General features: G+C 45.7%; 1 protein-coding gene across 1 annotated transcript in view, besides 1 other annotated feature; it reads left to right on the forward strand.

The window, feature by feature from the left end:
• Positions 16947-17016: a silencer, noted in NCBI's record as "silent region_15896". NCBI's record gives its function as "represses an Ori minimal core promoter by ATAC-STARR-seq in GM12878 lymphoblastoid cells {active_cell/tissue: GM12878}" and the evidence as "EXISTENCE:reporter gene assay evidence [ECO:0000049][PMID:35858748]".
• UBE2QL1 (ubiquitin conjugating enzyme E2 QL1) overlaps positions 16984-17431 on the forward strand; it is a 47865-nt gene continuing 47417 nt past the window's right edge. The window contains exon 1 of the mRNA NM_001145161.3: positions 16984-17372. Coding sequence (NP_001138633.1) covers positions 17019-17372 — 354 coding nt within the window. The 5' untranslated portion in view covers positions 16984-17018. The remainder of the gene's footprint in view (positions 17373-17431) is intronic.

Below are 17431 nucleotides of genomic sequence, written 5' to 3' on the forward strand. Positions count from 1 at the left end.
TGAAAGTCCAAGTCAAGACATTGGCAGGGTTGGCTTTTTCTGAGGCCTCTCTCCTTAGTGTCCTCCTATGTCCTCCTAATTACCTCTTATGATAAGGACACCAGTCACACTGGGTTAGAGTCCACCCCAATGACCTTGTTTAACCTCAATTACTTCTTTAAAGGCCCTATCTCCAAGTGCAGTCACCTTCTGAAGCACTGGAGGTTAGGGCGTCAATATATGAATTTAGAGGAGGCACAATTTAGCCCTGAACAGGGGACATTCTGTGTGTGTGTCTTGGGGGGACACAGCATTTTCATTACCCCCAGCCCACGCTCATTTAAACCCAGTTGAATGATCCAAATAATCCCACACTCCTGGGAGACCACAGATAACTGAGGAAGGGGAGGCAAGGGCGTCTCAGGGACAAGAGAGGCTCTTGACTGGTGGCACGAGAGTGACCATGTCCCAGATCAGAGCACATAAGTGGTCCGGGGACAAGCAAAACCAAATGTGGGGAGCCCTGCAGGAGGGAGGGACACTGGGGAGCACAGAGCAGCCTTGCCAGTGGGTCCCACCCTCATCTCATGCAGCCAGGAGCTGGCTTCGGGGTTAGGAGTCAACAGCTAGTTCAGCACGCACCCTTGACGAGAGTGACATGAGTGATATCGATCAAAAAGGACCTGACTCTCAGCTTACTCGAGTAGCTCCTCCACCTCTCGAAACCCTTTAGAAAATATATATATCTTTGCAAATGCTCTGCCCTGCAAGAAAACCTTCTATATTCTAAATTCCTCTAGCTGAAAACCAAAGGGCTGTTTACATAATGAGTTCGAAAATAAAAGGAAAATATTAGAAGGCATTCCTCATGAATTCTGATAAGGATATTATCCTGTTCAGAGGCATCCTAATTATAAAACTACACAATAAACCTCAATTCTAACAGAGTTATTCTTCTCTATCGGGCAGATGGTAATTGCTTTTAAAATATATATATGTACAACTTGTGTCTTATCTGTTTTGAGAAAGTAATATCTATCTTTTTAAATTGCCTAATTTTTTATTCTGCAGAGGCTAACTCTGAATAAATCTCTCTTCAAAAAAATTGCCAGCCTAGGCAAAAAAGCAGCACTTAAAAAATAGAATATTTTCTCAGAAAAGATGAGATTGCAAAGTGATAAGACTCAGAGAGAAGTATTATAAGCTTTTCTGTAGCTACTTGTGAATGCAAGGCGCAAAATAAAGTTTTCTGCCTGTTCTGCCCACACATGCCCACAGGGTGGGTTAGGACTGGGTGAGCTCCAGGCTGGCTCACACCCCAGTGGGCAAGGAGCGGGCAGGCTCCGAACGGTTTAGGAATAACTGAGGGTGATGACTCCTGAAGTTGTACTAGGTCCACTCCCTTTCTTTAAAAGATGGCTTCATCTCGAGTGTTCCAGTCATAGCCCAGAATACCGCTTTCCTGCCTAGCAAAGCTTTCGATGAAACAAATATTTTGTGGTGTGTGGAGGGAGAGAAGGTTCTATTTTATCAGTAGAAGATGATATACAGTAGAATTTTAACACTGCAAATCAAAGCCTATTCGAAAGAAGTGAAATCAATTTAGCTTTTTTTTTTTTTTCAGATGGAGTCTAGCTCTGTCGCCCAGGCTGGAGTGCAGTGGTACCATCTTGGCTCACTGCAACCTCTGCCTCCAGGGTTCAAGCAATTCTCCTGCCTCAGCCTCCTGAGTAGCTGGGATTACAGGCATGCGCCATGATGCCTGGCTAATTTTTGTATTTTTAGTAGAGTTGGGGTTTCACCATGTTGGCCAGGCTGGTCACAAACTCCTGACCTCAAGTGATCCACCTGCCTTGGCCTCCCAAAATGATGGGATTACAGGCATGAGCCACTGTGCCCGGCCCAATTTAGCATTTTCTAAAAAATGAAATACTAGAATACCCTAGACTGGATTAGATAGGAGAAATGAGAAAATATCCCAGTGCTATGCACATAGGAAGGGTAAATAACGTGTAAAACTTGAACTCTTTCAGGGTCAAAGAGCAGTTACTCTGTCGTTCACTCACCCATCACCCACCCTCTTGACAGAAAGGGTTAATGCTGCCCTGGTGGTATTTTATGCTAAGAGAGAACACACAGGGAAGATCTGGAGTGTGACTCACATGAGCAAGTGTGACATCCCAGGGAGGACCGGGAAGCTCTATGGGATGGGAGGACCATGATCAGATGGTAAAACCACAGTATCTCTCCTTGGGTACCCAGAGAGCAACAAACAGGCCAATCTAGTTGCTTGTTGTCTCATGAGCTGATTTCAATAAAGATGCAACCAGAGACAAAGAGGAAAGGAACGTCACAGTATCAGCGTGCACTGAAGCAGACCACCTTTTCCAATGTGAAAATGGGACGTTTTAGACATTTTCAAAAACAGTTGATTTACTTCTAGTAAAGTACTATAGATTTTTCTCGTGATTGTGCCTGTGTGTGTGAAAGCCCACCCACATATCTCATGCGTCCAAAACACATACACTTTTTGCAGAAATAGTTATAATTAAAATGTACGTTTTAAACGAAAGACAAAGTGAAACACAAATACGGGTATAGAGGTATAAGGACAACTCAGACCAAAAATATCACTGACCCTAAAATAAATATCTAGAGTCCCTAATCAGCAGTGCCTACCATCCCCTATATCTAGCTTTCTTTCAGCTAAATTAATACTCTTGCAACTCGGAATGGTATCAGATCCTAAAGCCATGATGGGATGGGAAGAGCACACTCCTTAGTTATTACTCTGCATTCCATTGAAATCGCTATCATGTTTGAAACATTCAGTTTTTCCTATCTTTTTTTTCCTAGTAAGTAACCTAAATTAAGCTAAAATATCATTTATTCTTTTCTAACTGCAGCCTGTTCCTTGCATTTGAAAGAAGTCTGTGCCAGGGCTCTCCTGTGGATGAATGTATCTCACACGCTAATGATGAAACCCTTCCCTGAGCCCCGCATCAGGGATTCTGAGCTCAGGGCAGATGCGTCGTCGTCACGGTCTTTGCTGCAGTCACGACTCCTTCCACCTTGGGGACCAATCAGTGGTGGTTTCTCTTCCACGTATTGCCTCACTGTCTGTGCAGTCACATCTCTCAAAGCAACGTGGGACTTTGCCAGAGCCAGCTGCCTGAAATGTTCTTCCTCCTTATCTGTAGCACCTGGATCCGCACGAGAAAAGCTGCACAAATACGTTTCTGGAAAGGCGGTATCACCAACGGAGATTGCTTTGATTAGGGCACAAGCTTTTCCATCTAAATATCTATCCATTTCTGGACTAATTTATTTATGCACATATTCTATCATTCAGTAAGAATGAATTCAGAAATCTATGCACTGAGAGAGACTACATTTATCTCATATCTCTCTTGAAGACATTCATTATATATTTCTCTCTCTCTCTCTCTCTCTCTCTCTCTCTTTCATTCTTTTAACTTTGTTTCCTCGGGTGTTAATTCTTTGCTTAAGTTTGCTTTTCGTCAAACGTTTGATTGAGAATGAGGTACACACTTCCAGAAGGAAGGAATTCGTACTTGTCATCAAGGTGACCAGCTCCCAGCTCATCCTGTGGGGTCCCTGGCTGCATCCAGCTTTTGTCCTGAGCCTGGGTGCTTCTCCCAATGCTGCCTCCTGCTGGCACAGCCAGGTTCACCGTCATGAGGATCTGCGGTCCGTGCTCTGCTCTTCATTCCTGCTTCCTCTGCAACAGCTCCAAGCTCTGTGGCAGGACACACCTGCTGTGGATATTCTGGGCTACCCTGTCTGCCCATCTGCTTCTATCTACCATCGTCTTTCAGGGATTTCTCCCAATTCCAGGTCCACTGGTGGTTCTTCTCATTTTCTAAGTTTTACAGGCGGGAGTGTAAAATGGTAAAGCCAGCTTAGAAAAGAGTTGGGGAGTTTCTTATAGATTTAAACATATACTTAGCCTTTGATGCAATAAGTCCACTCCTTGGCATTTACCCAAAGCAGATGAAAATAAGGGTCTACAAAGACTTGCACACAAGTGTTCATTGTTCATCTGCACAATGGTCAGAACCAAAGCAACCCAAATGCTTTCCAAAAGGAGGATGGATAAACAGATGGTGGAATATCCATACAATAAATACTACTGGCCAATAAAAACAAACTACTGACCTATGCAACAGCATGGGCCAATCTCACCATGAGATTATATGTGGATTAATGGAGGCCAGATATAAGAGTACGTACTTTATCATTCCATTCATGCAAAGTTCAGAGATAAGCAAAACTAGTTTTTGATGAGACAAATCAAAACAGAGGGTGCCTCTGGTGGAGGGGTGGGGTGAGCATGACCAGAAAGGAACATGGGGGAACTTTCTAGAGTGATGGAAATATCCCATGTCTTAATTGGGGTAAGTTACATGGGTAAGAACCATTTTTTAAAACCCACTGAGTTGTACAACTAAGATGTGTGCACTTCACTGTATGTAAATTAATTCTCTATTTAAATAGTTTTTAAAATCAGATACTATCTTTTTTTCTTTTTGAGATGGAGTCTCACTCTGTTGCCCATGCTGGAGTGCCCAGTGGTGCAATCTCAATTCACTGCAACCTCCACCTACCGTGTTCAAGCAATTCTCTTGCCTCAGCCTCCCAAGTAACTGAGACTACAGGTGCACGCCAACATGCCTTGTTAATTTTTTGTATTTTTAGTAGAGATGGGGTTTCATCATGTTGTCCAGGCTGGTCTCGAACTCCTGGCCTCAAGTGATCTGCCTGCCTTGGCCTCCCAAAGTGCTGGGATTGCAGGCGTGAGCCACTGCACCCAGCCTAATTATATTTTTCTAGGTTGACATGGGAGCAAGAAGGCATTTACTGTCATAAACTGCTGGCAAAAAGATTCAAAAGATTTCATTACATTCTAATGCTTTAAAAATGCTTACTATAAATATAATACATGTTCTCAATTTCGACTAATTATACTATTTCACTCACCACCCCACAGCCATGTCAGGAAACAGAATTGACTTTTTCTTTCTCAGAATACTATATTTGGACCTATATTTAGACCTAATATTTAAGGTAGCATTGAATACAGACGCTACCTTGACATGCAATATCAGCTGTCATTTTACACTTCCACACAACCAGAAAGTAACTGCCTTTGCCTCAAGCAAAGATGAAAGGGACAGGAAAAATTAGATTATTATCTCTGGAAATCTCTTTAGGACCAAGCAGTTTCTTCTTCAGAAAGGAATGCATGACTCATTTCATCACTCAAGAATTCCTTCAACTGCCAGAGAAAATCTATACTCCATAATTACAAAAGCCATCTCAGGTTCCTTCTCTGCTGCAAAAGCTAAGTACAGTATAGGCCAAGAGGAATCGTTCAGAGATTTTCACAAAGACGGTTCCAGGCAGTCTACAAACCCACTGTGTTGGATTTGAACACTGGACATTTGGAGGTCAAAATTCACAAACGAGTTATGATGTTACGCCAGCTTCTGGCAGTTGCTGCCATGACCATGGAGGTGAAGCCACTGTGGATTTGAGCAGTCCATGTTGACAACACCTCTGCAGCCATGCTAATATCAAAGCAGCACAGCTCCAGGGGTAAGCTCATGCTCCGAAGCCTTAGGCTAATGCCCCATTTCTTCTTCTGTTCCTTAAACATTTCCTCATCTTTATAACCAATTATCTGAATTAAATGTTTTCTATTAGCTGAGCATGGTGGCTTGAGGCTGTAGTTCCAGCTATTCAGGAGGCTGAGACAGGAGGATTGCTTGAGCCCAGGCTGTAGTGAGCTATGATGGTGCCACTGCACTCCAGTCTGGGCAAGAAAGCAAGACCCTGTCTCTCTCTCTCTCTTTTTTTTTTTTTTTAATTTTCAAATTAAAAAGAGTGAGAACAGGTGAAACTCACTCTGTTGCCCAGGATGGAGTGCAATGGCATGATCTTGGCTCACTGCAACTTCTGCCTCCCAGGTTCAAGCAATTCTCCTGCCTCAGCCTCCCGAGTAGCTGAGATTACAGGCATGTGCCACCACGCCCGGCTAATTTTTGTACTTTTTTTAAGTAGAGATGGGGTTTCACCATGTTGGCCATGCTGGTCTCAAACTCCTGACCTCACATGATCCACCCGCCTCAGCCTCCCAAAGTGCTGGGATTATAGGCATGAGCCACTGTGCCCAGCCGACCCTGTCTCTTAAAAACAACAACAACAACCACAAAAACAACCCTTCCGTTGAAACACTTAGCATATTAACTTAGGGCTCTGTGCCAGAAGTGGGTTTAAAGATTGAGTTATTAATCGACTTTGACCCTGAACTCAGTAATGGTGTTGGAGTCAGTGGAAAATGGGAAAAACAGTAGTGAGTGTAAAGTCATAGCATGATAATTCCACAATTATCACCAGCTGTGGTTGCCTGAGGCAAAGCACATAGGGAAAGGAAAGCTCTAGGGGAGCAAGTTGCTACTGAACTTGACCATTATGGAAGCAAGGATGATAAGAAGGGGAAAGCGGGGATTGGGCTGCTTCTGAGTGCCATGGAAAGGACAAGCTCCAAGGTTGAAAACCTCACCAAGAGTCAGAGAAACAATTTTTGTTTGCCAATTTTAAAAAAATTATATATTTTTAAAAGGCACAAGGGAAGAACAGCTGTAATTGTTGATGTATGGAAGTCATCTTGCAACCATAAGAGAGCCAATAAATAATTAGAAAGAGTCAGAACAGGTGAAAAACACCATGAAAGCCCTAAAAGATTACCAAAGCTCTTCTAGCTGAAGGACTGATACTGCTGAAAATCAGTCCAAAAATTTGGCTGTTGAGGTTGCAGAATTACAAAATGCATTGAATTCGCAGTCATGCCAACCCTCCAATGTGAGAGTCAGAACACAGACTGGAAATAAATCAGACCCTGAAAACTGAAATGAGTCCATTTGGGTTGACTCAGAAACCTTTGAGAACCTACACCCCTCACACCCTTTGCCTCCCTCACCCATAGAAGTCATTTCTCTTGGCCTGGCTGGGAGACTGGACTCCCTTTGCCTGAAGCCCTCATACTGCTCTCACCTAGAAGCTGCCTTGCAAGGGAACACTGGTTCTCCTCAACACTCACCCAATACCTCTCATGCCCAGCAAACCAGAGCCCAGCACACCCTAAGGGGACAAAGGCCATGTCTAACCCAAGAGAAAATAGCTTATACCCCCAAAGAATTGCAAGATGGTGTTAATTTATACGGGCAGGAACCTGTGTGCCAGTCAGAAGGGCAGAGTGGAAGATTACCCAGGTTCAGGCTAGAGGAAAAGCCTAATAAAGATCACATACATCCATGCAGAATCTGAAATCCTTGATTTTATAGTTTCACTCTCCAGAATTGAGCTGTTGTGATCCACTTAGGAAAGTGCATGTAGTAAAGACTCCTAACTGGTCCCCAGTGTCCATATGTCCCTGTTTGTTTCTAGTGGTTCTAATCTGGACGCACACTATCTAGCTGAAGACTACATTTCCTGGGCCCCTTGGAACTACTGTGCAATGGGATATGAGTAAAGGTGGTGTGTGTAACTTCCAGGTCATTCAGTTACAGTCACTTCCAGATTCTGGAAAAGGCAGCAGCTGGAGCCACCATGGAAGCCATGAGTTAACTGCATGTCATATACCATAGAAGAGAAGCTTCTGACTTGATCCTCCGGATGGCTTTCTGTTAAAGGACCAGTGTTCTAACTAATACAAGGTGTATTATTTTAAAATATAAATGCTCCTAGGGAACTACATGTTAAATTTTTATGTGAATTAGTTTCACCAAATTACTTTGCCCCAGACTCCTTGAAGTTAAGTCAAAGACAGCAAGGTATTTGAAATGCCAAACCCCGCCCCCTGCACTTAGAGCAGACATTCTTCATCGATGACCACACTCTCCTCTAAGCCAACACCAATCCTTAACACAGTGCTTCTCTACTGGCAGCTTCCACTAATTGACCCAATTTGGTGAAGAGATAAAATCTACTTACCATCCTGAGTTAGGTCTGTATGGAAAACAGCAAAATGGGATGGTCACTGAAGTGAAGACTTTGAGACAATAAGAGGAGCAGGAGGGTCCATGAGTTAGGGAACACTGAACAGTAAATAACAACAACAAAAATGTCTGGAGTGTGCACTCTGTGTCAGCCACTATTCTTAGCAAGGGCAGTCTAAACTGGCTTACAGGTGTGTAAGTCAGAGTCCTTGCTTACCAACAACAGAGTTCAACCCAGCTCAACCAAAAGGAATGTAGAGATGTCTCCTGAAGAATCTCTAGGAGGGTCAGGAATTTAACTAGGAAGCTACACAGCCTAGAATGACACTCACATAATCTGAGTGGTATAATTAAGATTATACCACTGAACCACCCCAGGGAAGACACCACCTTTAGCCAGGTACAAGCACTCTAGACAGAACCAGCAACCCTGGCTCGAAAGTCCCATGGGGACCTTAGCTGCTGCTGTCTCTGGAAGCTGGCTGGCTCCCCACCTACTCACAAGAAGGATCTCTCCTTGGGCTTCCCTCTTCCAGACTACACATCTGTTCTGGGGTGTCTGATGGGCTGAGACCAGGTCACACGCCTGTGCCTAGCTGCAAGGGAGTCTGAGAAAGCAAGTTTCTGGCTTCAAGGAAGCAAGGATTACGATAAGCTGTGTTGGTTACCTATTGCTGTATTGCAAATTACCCCAAAATATAATGGCCTAAATCAGCAGTATATTTTTTAAATTTTTTTAACTTTTATTTTAGGTTCAGAGGAACATGTTCAGGTTTGTTATCTAGGTAAACTTGTGTCACAGGGATTTGTTGTACGGATTATTTCATCATCCAGGTACTAAGCTGTATCAGTCCATTTACATGCTGCTGATAAAGACATACCCAAGACTGGGGAGAAAAAGAGGTTTAATTGGACTTATGGCTGGGGACCTCCCACATGGCTGGGGAGGTCTCAGAATCATTGTGGGAGGTGAAAGGCACTTCTTATGTGGTGCCAGCAAGAGAAAAATTAGGAAGAAGCAAAAGCAGAAACCCCTGATAAACCCATCAGATCTTGTGAGACTTAATCACTATCACAAGAACAGCACAGAAAAGACTGACCCCCATGATTCAATTATCTCCCCCTGGGTTCCTCCCACAACATGTGGGAATTCTGAGAGGTACAATTCAAGTTGAGATTTGGCTGGGGAAACAGCCAAACCATATCATAAGCCTAGCACCCCATAGCTATTTTTTCTGTTCCTCTCCCTCCTCCCACCCTCCACCCTCCAATAGACCCCGGTGTCTGTTGTTCCCTTCTTTGTGTCCATCTGTTCTCACCATTTAGCTCCCACCCAAAAGTGAGAACATGCGGTATTTGGTTTTCTGTTCCTGTGTTAGTTTGCTCAGGATAATGGCCTCCAGCTCCATCCATGTTCCTGCAAAGGACATGACCTCATTCTTTGTTATGGCTTCATAGTATTCCTTGGTGTATATGTACATTTTCTTTATGCAATCTGTCATAGATGGGCATCTTAGGTTGATTCTATGTCTTTGCTATTGTGAATAGTGCTGCAATGAACATTTGCATGCATGTGTCTTTATGGTAGAATTATTTATATTCCTCTGGATATATACCCAGTAATGGGATTGCTGGGTTGAATGGTAGTTCTGTTTTTAGCTCTCTGAGGAATCACCATACTGCTTTCCACAATGGTTGAACTAATTTACACTCCCACCAATAGTGTATGTGTTCCTTTTTCTTCACAACCTAGCCAACATGTTATTTTTTTGACTTTTTAATAATAGCCATTCTGATTGGTGTGAGATGTTGTCTGATTGTGGTTTTGATTTGCAGTTCACTAATGATCAGTGACGTTGAGCTTCTCATATGGCTGTTGGCTGCATCTATATCTCTTTTGAAAAGTGTTTGTTCATGTCCTTTGCCCACTTTTTAATGGGGTTGTTTTTCTCTTGTAGATTTGTTTAAGTTCCTTATAGATGCTGAATATTAGACCTTTGTCAGATACATAGTTTGCATATATTTTCTCCCATTCTGTAGGTTGTCTATTTACTCTGTTGATAGTTCCTTTGTTCTGCAGAAGTTCTTAATTTTCCTATGACCAGAATGGCATTGCCTAGGTTATGTTCCAAGGTTTTTATAGTTTTTGGGTTTTACATTTAAGTCTTTAAGACATCTTGAGTTAACTTTCATATATGCTGTAAGAAAAGTGTTCAGTTTCAATCTTCTGCACGTGGCTAGCCTGTTATCCCAGCACCATTTATTAAATAGGGAGTCATTTCCCCATTGCTTGTTTTTGTCAGCTTTGTTGAAGATCCTATGGCCATAGGTGTACAGCCTTATGTCTGGACTCTTTGTTCTGTTCCATTGGTCTATGTATCAGTTTTTTGTACCAGTACCATACTCTAGCCCTGTAGTATAGTTTGAAGTCAGGTAATGTGATACTACTACTGTTGTTCATTTTGCTTAGGATTGCCTTGGCTATTCAGGCTCTTTTTTGGTTCCGTATGAATTTTAAAATAATTTTTTTTAGTTCTGTAAAGAATGTCATTGGTAGTTTGATAGGAATAGCATTGAATCTGTAAATTGCTTTGAGCAGTACGACCATTTTAATGATACTGGTTCTTCCTATCCATGAACATGGGATGTTTCTTCATTTGTGTTATCTCTGGTTTCTCTGAGCAGCATTTTGTAATTCTAATTGTAGAGATCTTTCACTTCCTGGTTAGCTGTATTCCTAGGCATTTCATTCTTTTTGTGGTAATTGTGAATGGGATTGCATTCCTGATTTGGCTCTTGGCTTGATGGTGGTTGGTGTATAGGAATATTAGTGATTTTTGTACATTGATTTTGTATCCTGAAACTTTGCTGAAGTTGTTTAATCAGCTGAAGGAGTTTTGGGCCAAGACTATGGGGTTTTCTAGATATAGAATCATGTCATCTGCAAACAGGGATAGTTTGACTTCCTCTCTTCCTATTTGTGTGCTCTTTATTTCTTTCTCTTGCCTGATCTAAATCTGCAATATTCTCTTTGATCTCTCACAGTATCTCTGACAGTATCTGTAGGTGAGGAATTCAGTCAGGGCACAGTGAGAATGAATTGCTTCTGCTCTATAATGACTGGAACCTCAGCTGTACGACTCAAAGACTGGGGTCCAGAATCATCTGAAGACCCACTTACTCACGTGTCTGGCAGGTGCTGCTGGCTGTCTGCAAAGACCTCAACTGGGCTGATGGCTGGAAAACCCACACATGCAGCCACTCCATGTGGCTTGGGCTTCCTCTCACCATGGCGTCTGGGTCTCCCTGGAAACATCCTGAGAGAAAGCTGAGGAAAGCAGTGTCCTACAATGACCTAGTCTTGGAAGTCACATGGCTTTCATGTGTCCCCACACTGTCAAAGCAGTCTGAGCCACTGCTCAGATTCAATGCCACAGAACATAGAGCCCAGCCTTCCATGAGAGGAGTGCAATCAAAGTCAGCTTGGCCATCTTTGGAAAATACAATCTGTCTTAGGAGAGAAATTCTGCAAGCACAGGAAGGGTGTGCCAACGGTGCCAGAGGACGACAAGCATGACAGAAGTCCTCGCCACCCATGTCAGGTAGCAGCACTTGCCTGACCTCCTGCCCTGCCACCCCTTCCCCTTTTCGAGCCCTCTTCACCTTCCTCTCTTCCTTCCCTTCTGCCCTTCCCCCTACAGAGGCCCAGCAGCCTGTGCACTGTGGCACCATGAGAATAGCCTTGGACAAGGTATCAGGACCAGGGACCCAGCTTCCTCTCTCACAGCCTCCTATGTGACTCTGGGCAAGACTCACTGCTGGGACCTCAGACGTCTGTGCTGTGAAATAAATATTGGGTTGGGTTTTCAATTCAACAACAAAAATGTGTGTGCGCCCATTGTGTGTCTTGAGCAAATGCAGAGGTGAGCCTGAGGCATTCCTTGACATCCCCAAGCTCTTTCCTTCAGCATCTGGAGCCATTTGCTGTAGAGTGATTAGAGAATGAGAAAGGTGTCCTCCTAGCGCCCCAGCTGCAGGAGGCTAGGATCTCTTCATTGCTGTCTCTACAGCAAACTGCATGCAGTGAGTGCTCTTGAGCAGTGGCTACAAGCTCTGTCTGGAGCCAAAGCTGGGTCTGAATTCGGGCTCCACTGACTGTTCACTGCATTATTTTGAGCCAGTTGCTTAACTTCTCCCTGCTTCAGTTTACTTATCTATAAAGTAAGGATAAGCACGGTACCTACTTAATAGGGCTGTCACAAAGATTTAATGGTTGCATACATTTGTAGTGCTTGGGATGGCGCTCAAGATATGTAAGTGCCATTTAAGTGCCAGCTTGGTGATGGGAAGTGAATGGCAAAAAAGGACACATGACCTGTAACATCACATACCCACGCTATGCTCCCTTGCAGTGAATTATTTTAGCAGAAAGTGTTTTTTTAATTTTGGCAGTGATCTTAACACCTTAGTTCAGGAGAGTAAACAACCTGTACACATTTAGGGTGGGTATTTTGAGGCAATGTCTTGGTGACTTTAGGAGACTGGGGCTCATGAGGAAATAGGACCAACTGAAAAACTGGGAGGCAGTTTTTGAGATAGGTAATAAATGGGCAAACCACAGCTCTTCATGTCTTCATAGAAGCTGCAGCTGGAGACAGCGGCACCTGGGACCACTGGGTGAATGTTCATGGAGGAGTCATTGGCAGATAGGACTTATTCTCAGATGATGGGCCTCTTGTGATGACCAGCATCCCTCTCTCCCTTCCTTTCTTCCCTTCATGCTAGACTGGTGCAGGCTGTCTGCAGATTCCCTAACCACTCCCCTTCCCCACCCCTCAGTGGCTTGGGCTTCCTCTCAACATGGTGTCTGGCTGTCTGCAGATTCCCTAACCACTCCCCTTCCCCACCCCTCAGTACTCAACAACATAGCAGGAGCTACATACCCACAGTTGTCCTTAGAAATTATTTTATGTAACTATGATAAATGCCCTTAATTCAACTGTCTCAATATTATAAGTCTAATCTTCAATAAAATGACAACATTCGGTAATAATTTTTTTTTCATTTTTACTGGTACACATTCCATTTTAGAATATTTGAAAATCAAAATGGAATAACTAAAACACAATGTAACCTCTACACACTGCTGGGCTGGGTAAATATCTGTTCATGCCAGGGGTAAAGCAGAACTTTCTAGAATCTTCTGAGATGGAAGAAGGAGGGGGGTTTACAAACCACACAGCCCCTTCTGCCCACCCCTGACCTGACCATCCTGTCACTGAAGGAAATGTTTGGATCCATGGGCTGGAGAACTGAGGAAGGACGAAATTGAGATGTTCTACCTGTACTAACATGATAATAGTGATAACATCATTCAAAATTTCTCCTTCTAGTCTTTTTTCCTGTGCATAGTTATATGTAGTTGTAGCTGCCATGTGGATATAATTTTGCACTCTACTTTCTCACTTAAAATTATTATGTAGATCATGAATATTTCCATTTTGCGATATAATCTTGATAACTGTAACATTCTTGCTGCAAAATATATTCTAAGTGGATTCAGTGTGATTTACTTAACACTTTCCCTCCTATTGTAAATTTAGGTTGTTTCCAATCTTTAACTAACCTTTAGCTCCAGCCTTTTTAAGAGTTGATCCAAGGTGCTCTAAGTGTGAGGGACAGGAACAAGAGAGGTGATGACCATCTCCATGCCAGCCTGTTCTGGCTTGGCCTCTTGTCTCAGCAAAAGTTTCTTTTCTTTTCTTTTCTTTTCTTTTCTTTTCTTTTCTTTTTTTTTTTTTTTTTTTGAGACAGGATCTTGCTCTGTCACCCAGGCTGGAGTGCAGTGGCCCAATCTCAGCTCGATGCAGCCTCCACCTCCTGGGTTCAGAATCCTCCTGGCAGGATTCTCCTGCCTCAGCCTCCCAAGTAGCTGGGATTACAGGTGTGTACCACCACACTTGGGTAATTTTTGTATTTCTAGTAGAGATGGGGTTTCACCATGTTGGCCAGGCTGGTCTCAAACTCCTGACCTCAAGTGATCTGCCCACCTTGGCCTCCCGAAGTGCTAGGATTACAGGCGTGAGCCCAGACCCAGCATCAGTATTAATTGTGATCCTTCCACTTACAAAAAAAAAATCTACAACCAGACAGTAAGGTATTTGATCTCCCTAGCAATAACTCCATTCAGAAACAGAGGCCTCACAGAAAGCTGCATGCAATTTCAGCTAAACCACTCCCAAACCACATCTGATGACGTGTGTCCTTCAAGTGGGATCAGTTGCTGTCACTGCTACAAAGAGTTTCTGAAGCCTCGGCCCAGGTCAGTGGGTTCTGAAATCCGGACAATCACGCCCAGGAGACGTTTTCTCACCTCCCAGGGCAGGACAGAGACCGCAACTGAGTCTGAGACCCAGCAATGCAGCCGGCGTGGGGCATCAGGTAGAGAAGCACGGAGCTGGCACAGGGGGTCCCCGCTGGGTGTGGACCCCAGCTGGGCCTCCCAGCACGTGGTTGAGCTGGGGAAGCTGCTGGGCCTCCCTGAGACTCCGTTTCTACACCAGTGAAAGGGGTCAGATGAAATCTGAGAGGGCCTCTGTGGAAGTTAAATCAAACATGTAGAGCCTGCCGACCTGCCCGGTCCCTCATGTTAGATGAGCTCCCAGGACTTTACAGACAGACACTGTCATCCTTCTCGCCTTATCTTAAAAATACATACATACATATAAAAACAAACAAAAAACACAAACAAACAAACAGACAAAACAGCTGGATAGAGCAAGGTCTCAAAACAAAACAAAATCAACCATGAAACCAGGGCAAATAGGCCCTCCCGTCGCAGCTGAGATTCCCACTGCCAGGGCACCCACCTGAGAGCACAGGCCCCCAGCCCTCTGCAGACGCACTCGTCTGCCGGTCGCCTCTCGGGGACCCAGGCGTGCAGGCACCCCTACTCTTTTAGCTCACGCTGTCAACTGGCTCTCCCGCAGACAACCCCAAATCACCCGACCCCAAACCTTTCAGGCCTGAAACTGTTTCCACAGTGGCCAGAAGAGTTATTTTTCAGTGAAAATTTCTAATAACTTAGAAAAGGTAAAAATGGTAAAAGAAGTTAAAAACAAGAAGTCACCATGACGGCACCCAGAGTGAAAGGCTTTCCTGGAGAACTCGGACGCTCCTCAAGTTCAAAGCCAAACCACCAGCAGCAGCGGCAGCAAGGTTTACAATCCTAAACCATGCAGGCTTCCGGCGTAATCTCTCCTGTACTTCGCCACCACTACAGCCTCACCGCTGGACAGCTCGGCCGCACACACACACCACACACACCACACACATCACACACTCACAGACACACCACACACTCACACACTCACACACACACCACACATCACACACTCACAGACACACCACACACTCACACACTCACCACACACCGCACACACACACACACACACACCACACACCGTACACACACCACACACCACACACACACTCACACACTCACACACACCACACACCGCACACACACACCACACACCACACACACTCACACACCACACACCACACACACTCACACACCACACACCACACACACTCACACACCACACACCACACACACTCACACACCACACACATCACACACAGACACACCACACACACACTGCACACACACACCACACACCACACACATCACACACACACCACAAACATTACACTCATACCACACACATCACACACACATCACACACACCGCACACACGCACACACTACACACATTCCCACACACTCATACACCACACACACCCTCACACACACACCACAAACACACCACACACACACCACATCAGTCACACACCACACACACACAAACACCACACACACGCACACACTACACACACACCACACACTCATACACCACGCTCACACACCCCCACACACACCACACATATCATGCATTCACACACCACACACAAGCACACACATGCACACACACTACACACACACCACACACTCATACACCACACACACGACACATACCACACACACCACACATTCACACACTACACACTCATACACTATGCTCACATACACCATGCAAACACCACACACACCACACACCACACTCAGACACCACACATTCACACAAAGCACACACACCACGCTCACACACAACACACCACACACACCACACACTACACACAATTACACACACTACTCACACACACCACACACACACCACACACACACACCACACACATCACCCTCACACCACACACAAAACACCCTCACACACTCACACATCACTCTCACACACACCATACACACATTACATACACAGCACACACACACCACACCCTCACACCACATCCCAGTCACACACCACACACTCACACACTAACACCACATACACGCACACACATATCACACACTCATACACCACGCTCACACACCCCACACACACACCACACATATCACACATTCACACATCACACAAGCACACACATGCACACACACCACACACTCATACACCATACTCACACCCCACACACACCACACACACATCACACATTCACACACGACACACTCATACACTATGCTCACACACACCATGCAAACACCACACACTACACACACTACACTCACACACACACCACACCACACTCACACCATACATACATACACACCACACACCACACTCACACATCACATGCACACACACCACGCTCGCACACACACACCACACAGTGGCAGCAGCAGCAGCACCCCGGGGGCGCGGGCGACGCCAGCCCGGGACCCGGCAAGGGAAAGGGCAAGCGCGCGGCGGAGCTGGCCCCGCGCGACAAGGCGCCGGCGGCTGCGGCGGCGGCGGCGGCGGCTGCGGCGGGGGCCGGGGGCCCCCGCGAGAGGGCAGCGGGCGCCAGGGCGGGGCCGGGCCCGGCGGTGGCGGCGGCGGCGGGCGGCAGCCTGGTCCCCGCGGCGCGCCAGCAACACTGCACGCAGGTGCGCAGCCGGCGGCTCATGAAGGAGCTGCAGGACATCGCGCGCCTTAGCGACCGCTTCATCTCCGTGGAGCTGGTGGACGAGAGCCTGTTCGACTGGAACGTGAAGCTGCACCAGGTGGACAAGGACTCGGTGCTGTGGCAGGACATGAAGGAGACCAACACCGAGTTCATCCTGCTCAACCTCACCTTCCCCGACAACTTCCCCTTCTCGCCGCCCTTCATGCGGGTGCTCAGCCCGCGCCTGGAGAACGGCTACGTGCTGGACGGCGGCGCCATCTGCATGGAGCTGCTCACGCCGCGCGGCTGGTCCAGCGCCTACACCGTGGAGGCCGTCATGCGCCAGTTCGCAGCCAGCCTGGTCAAGGGCCAGGTAAGGCGAGCGCGCCGGGGCTGGGGGCGCGGGGCCGAGATCGGGTCTGCAGCGCCGCC

This window comes from Homo sapiens, chromosome 5, assembly GCF_000001405.40.
Source record: "Homo sapiens chromosome 5, GRCh38.p14 Primary Assembly".
NCBI lineage: Eukaryota > Metazoa > Chordata > Mammalia > Primates > Hominidae > Homo > Homo sapiens.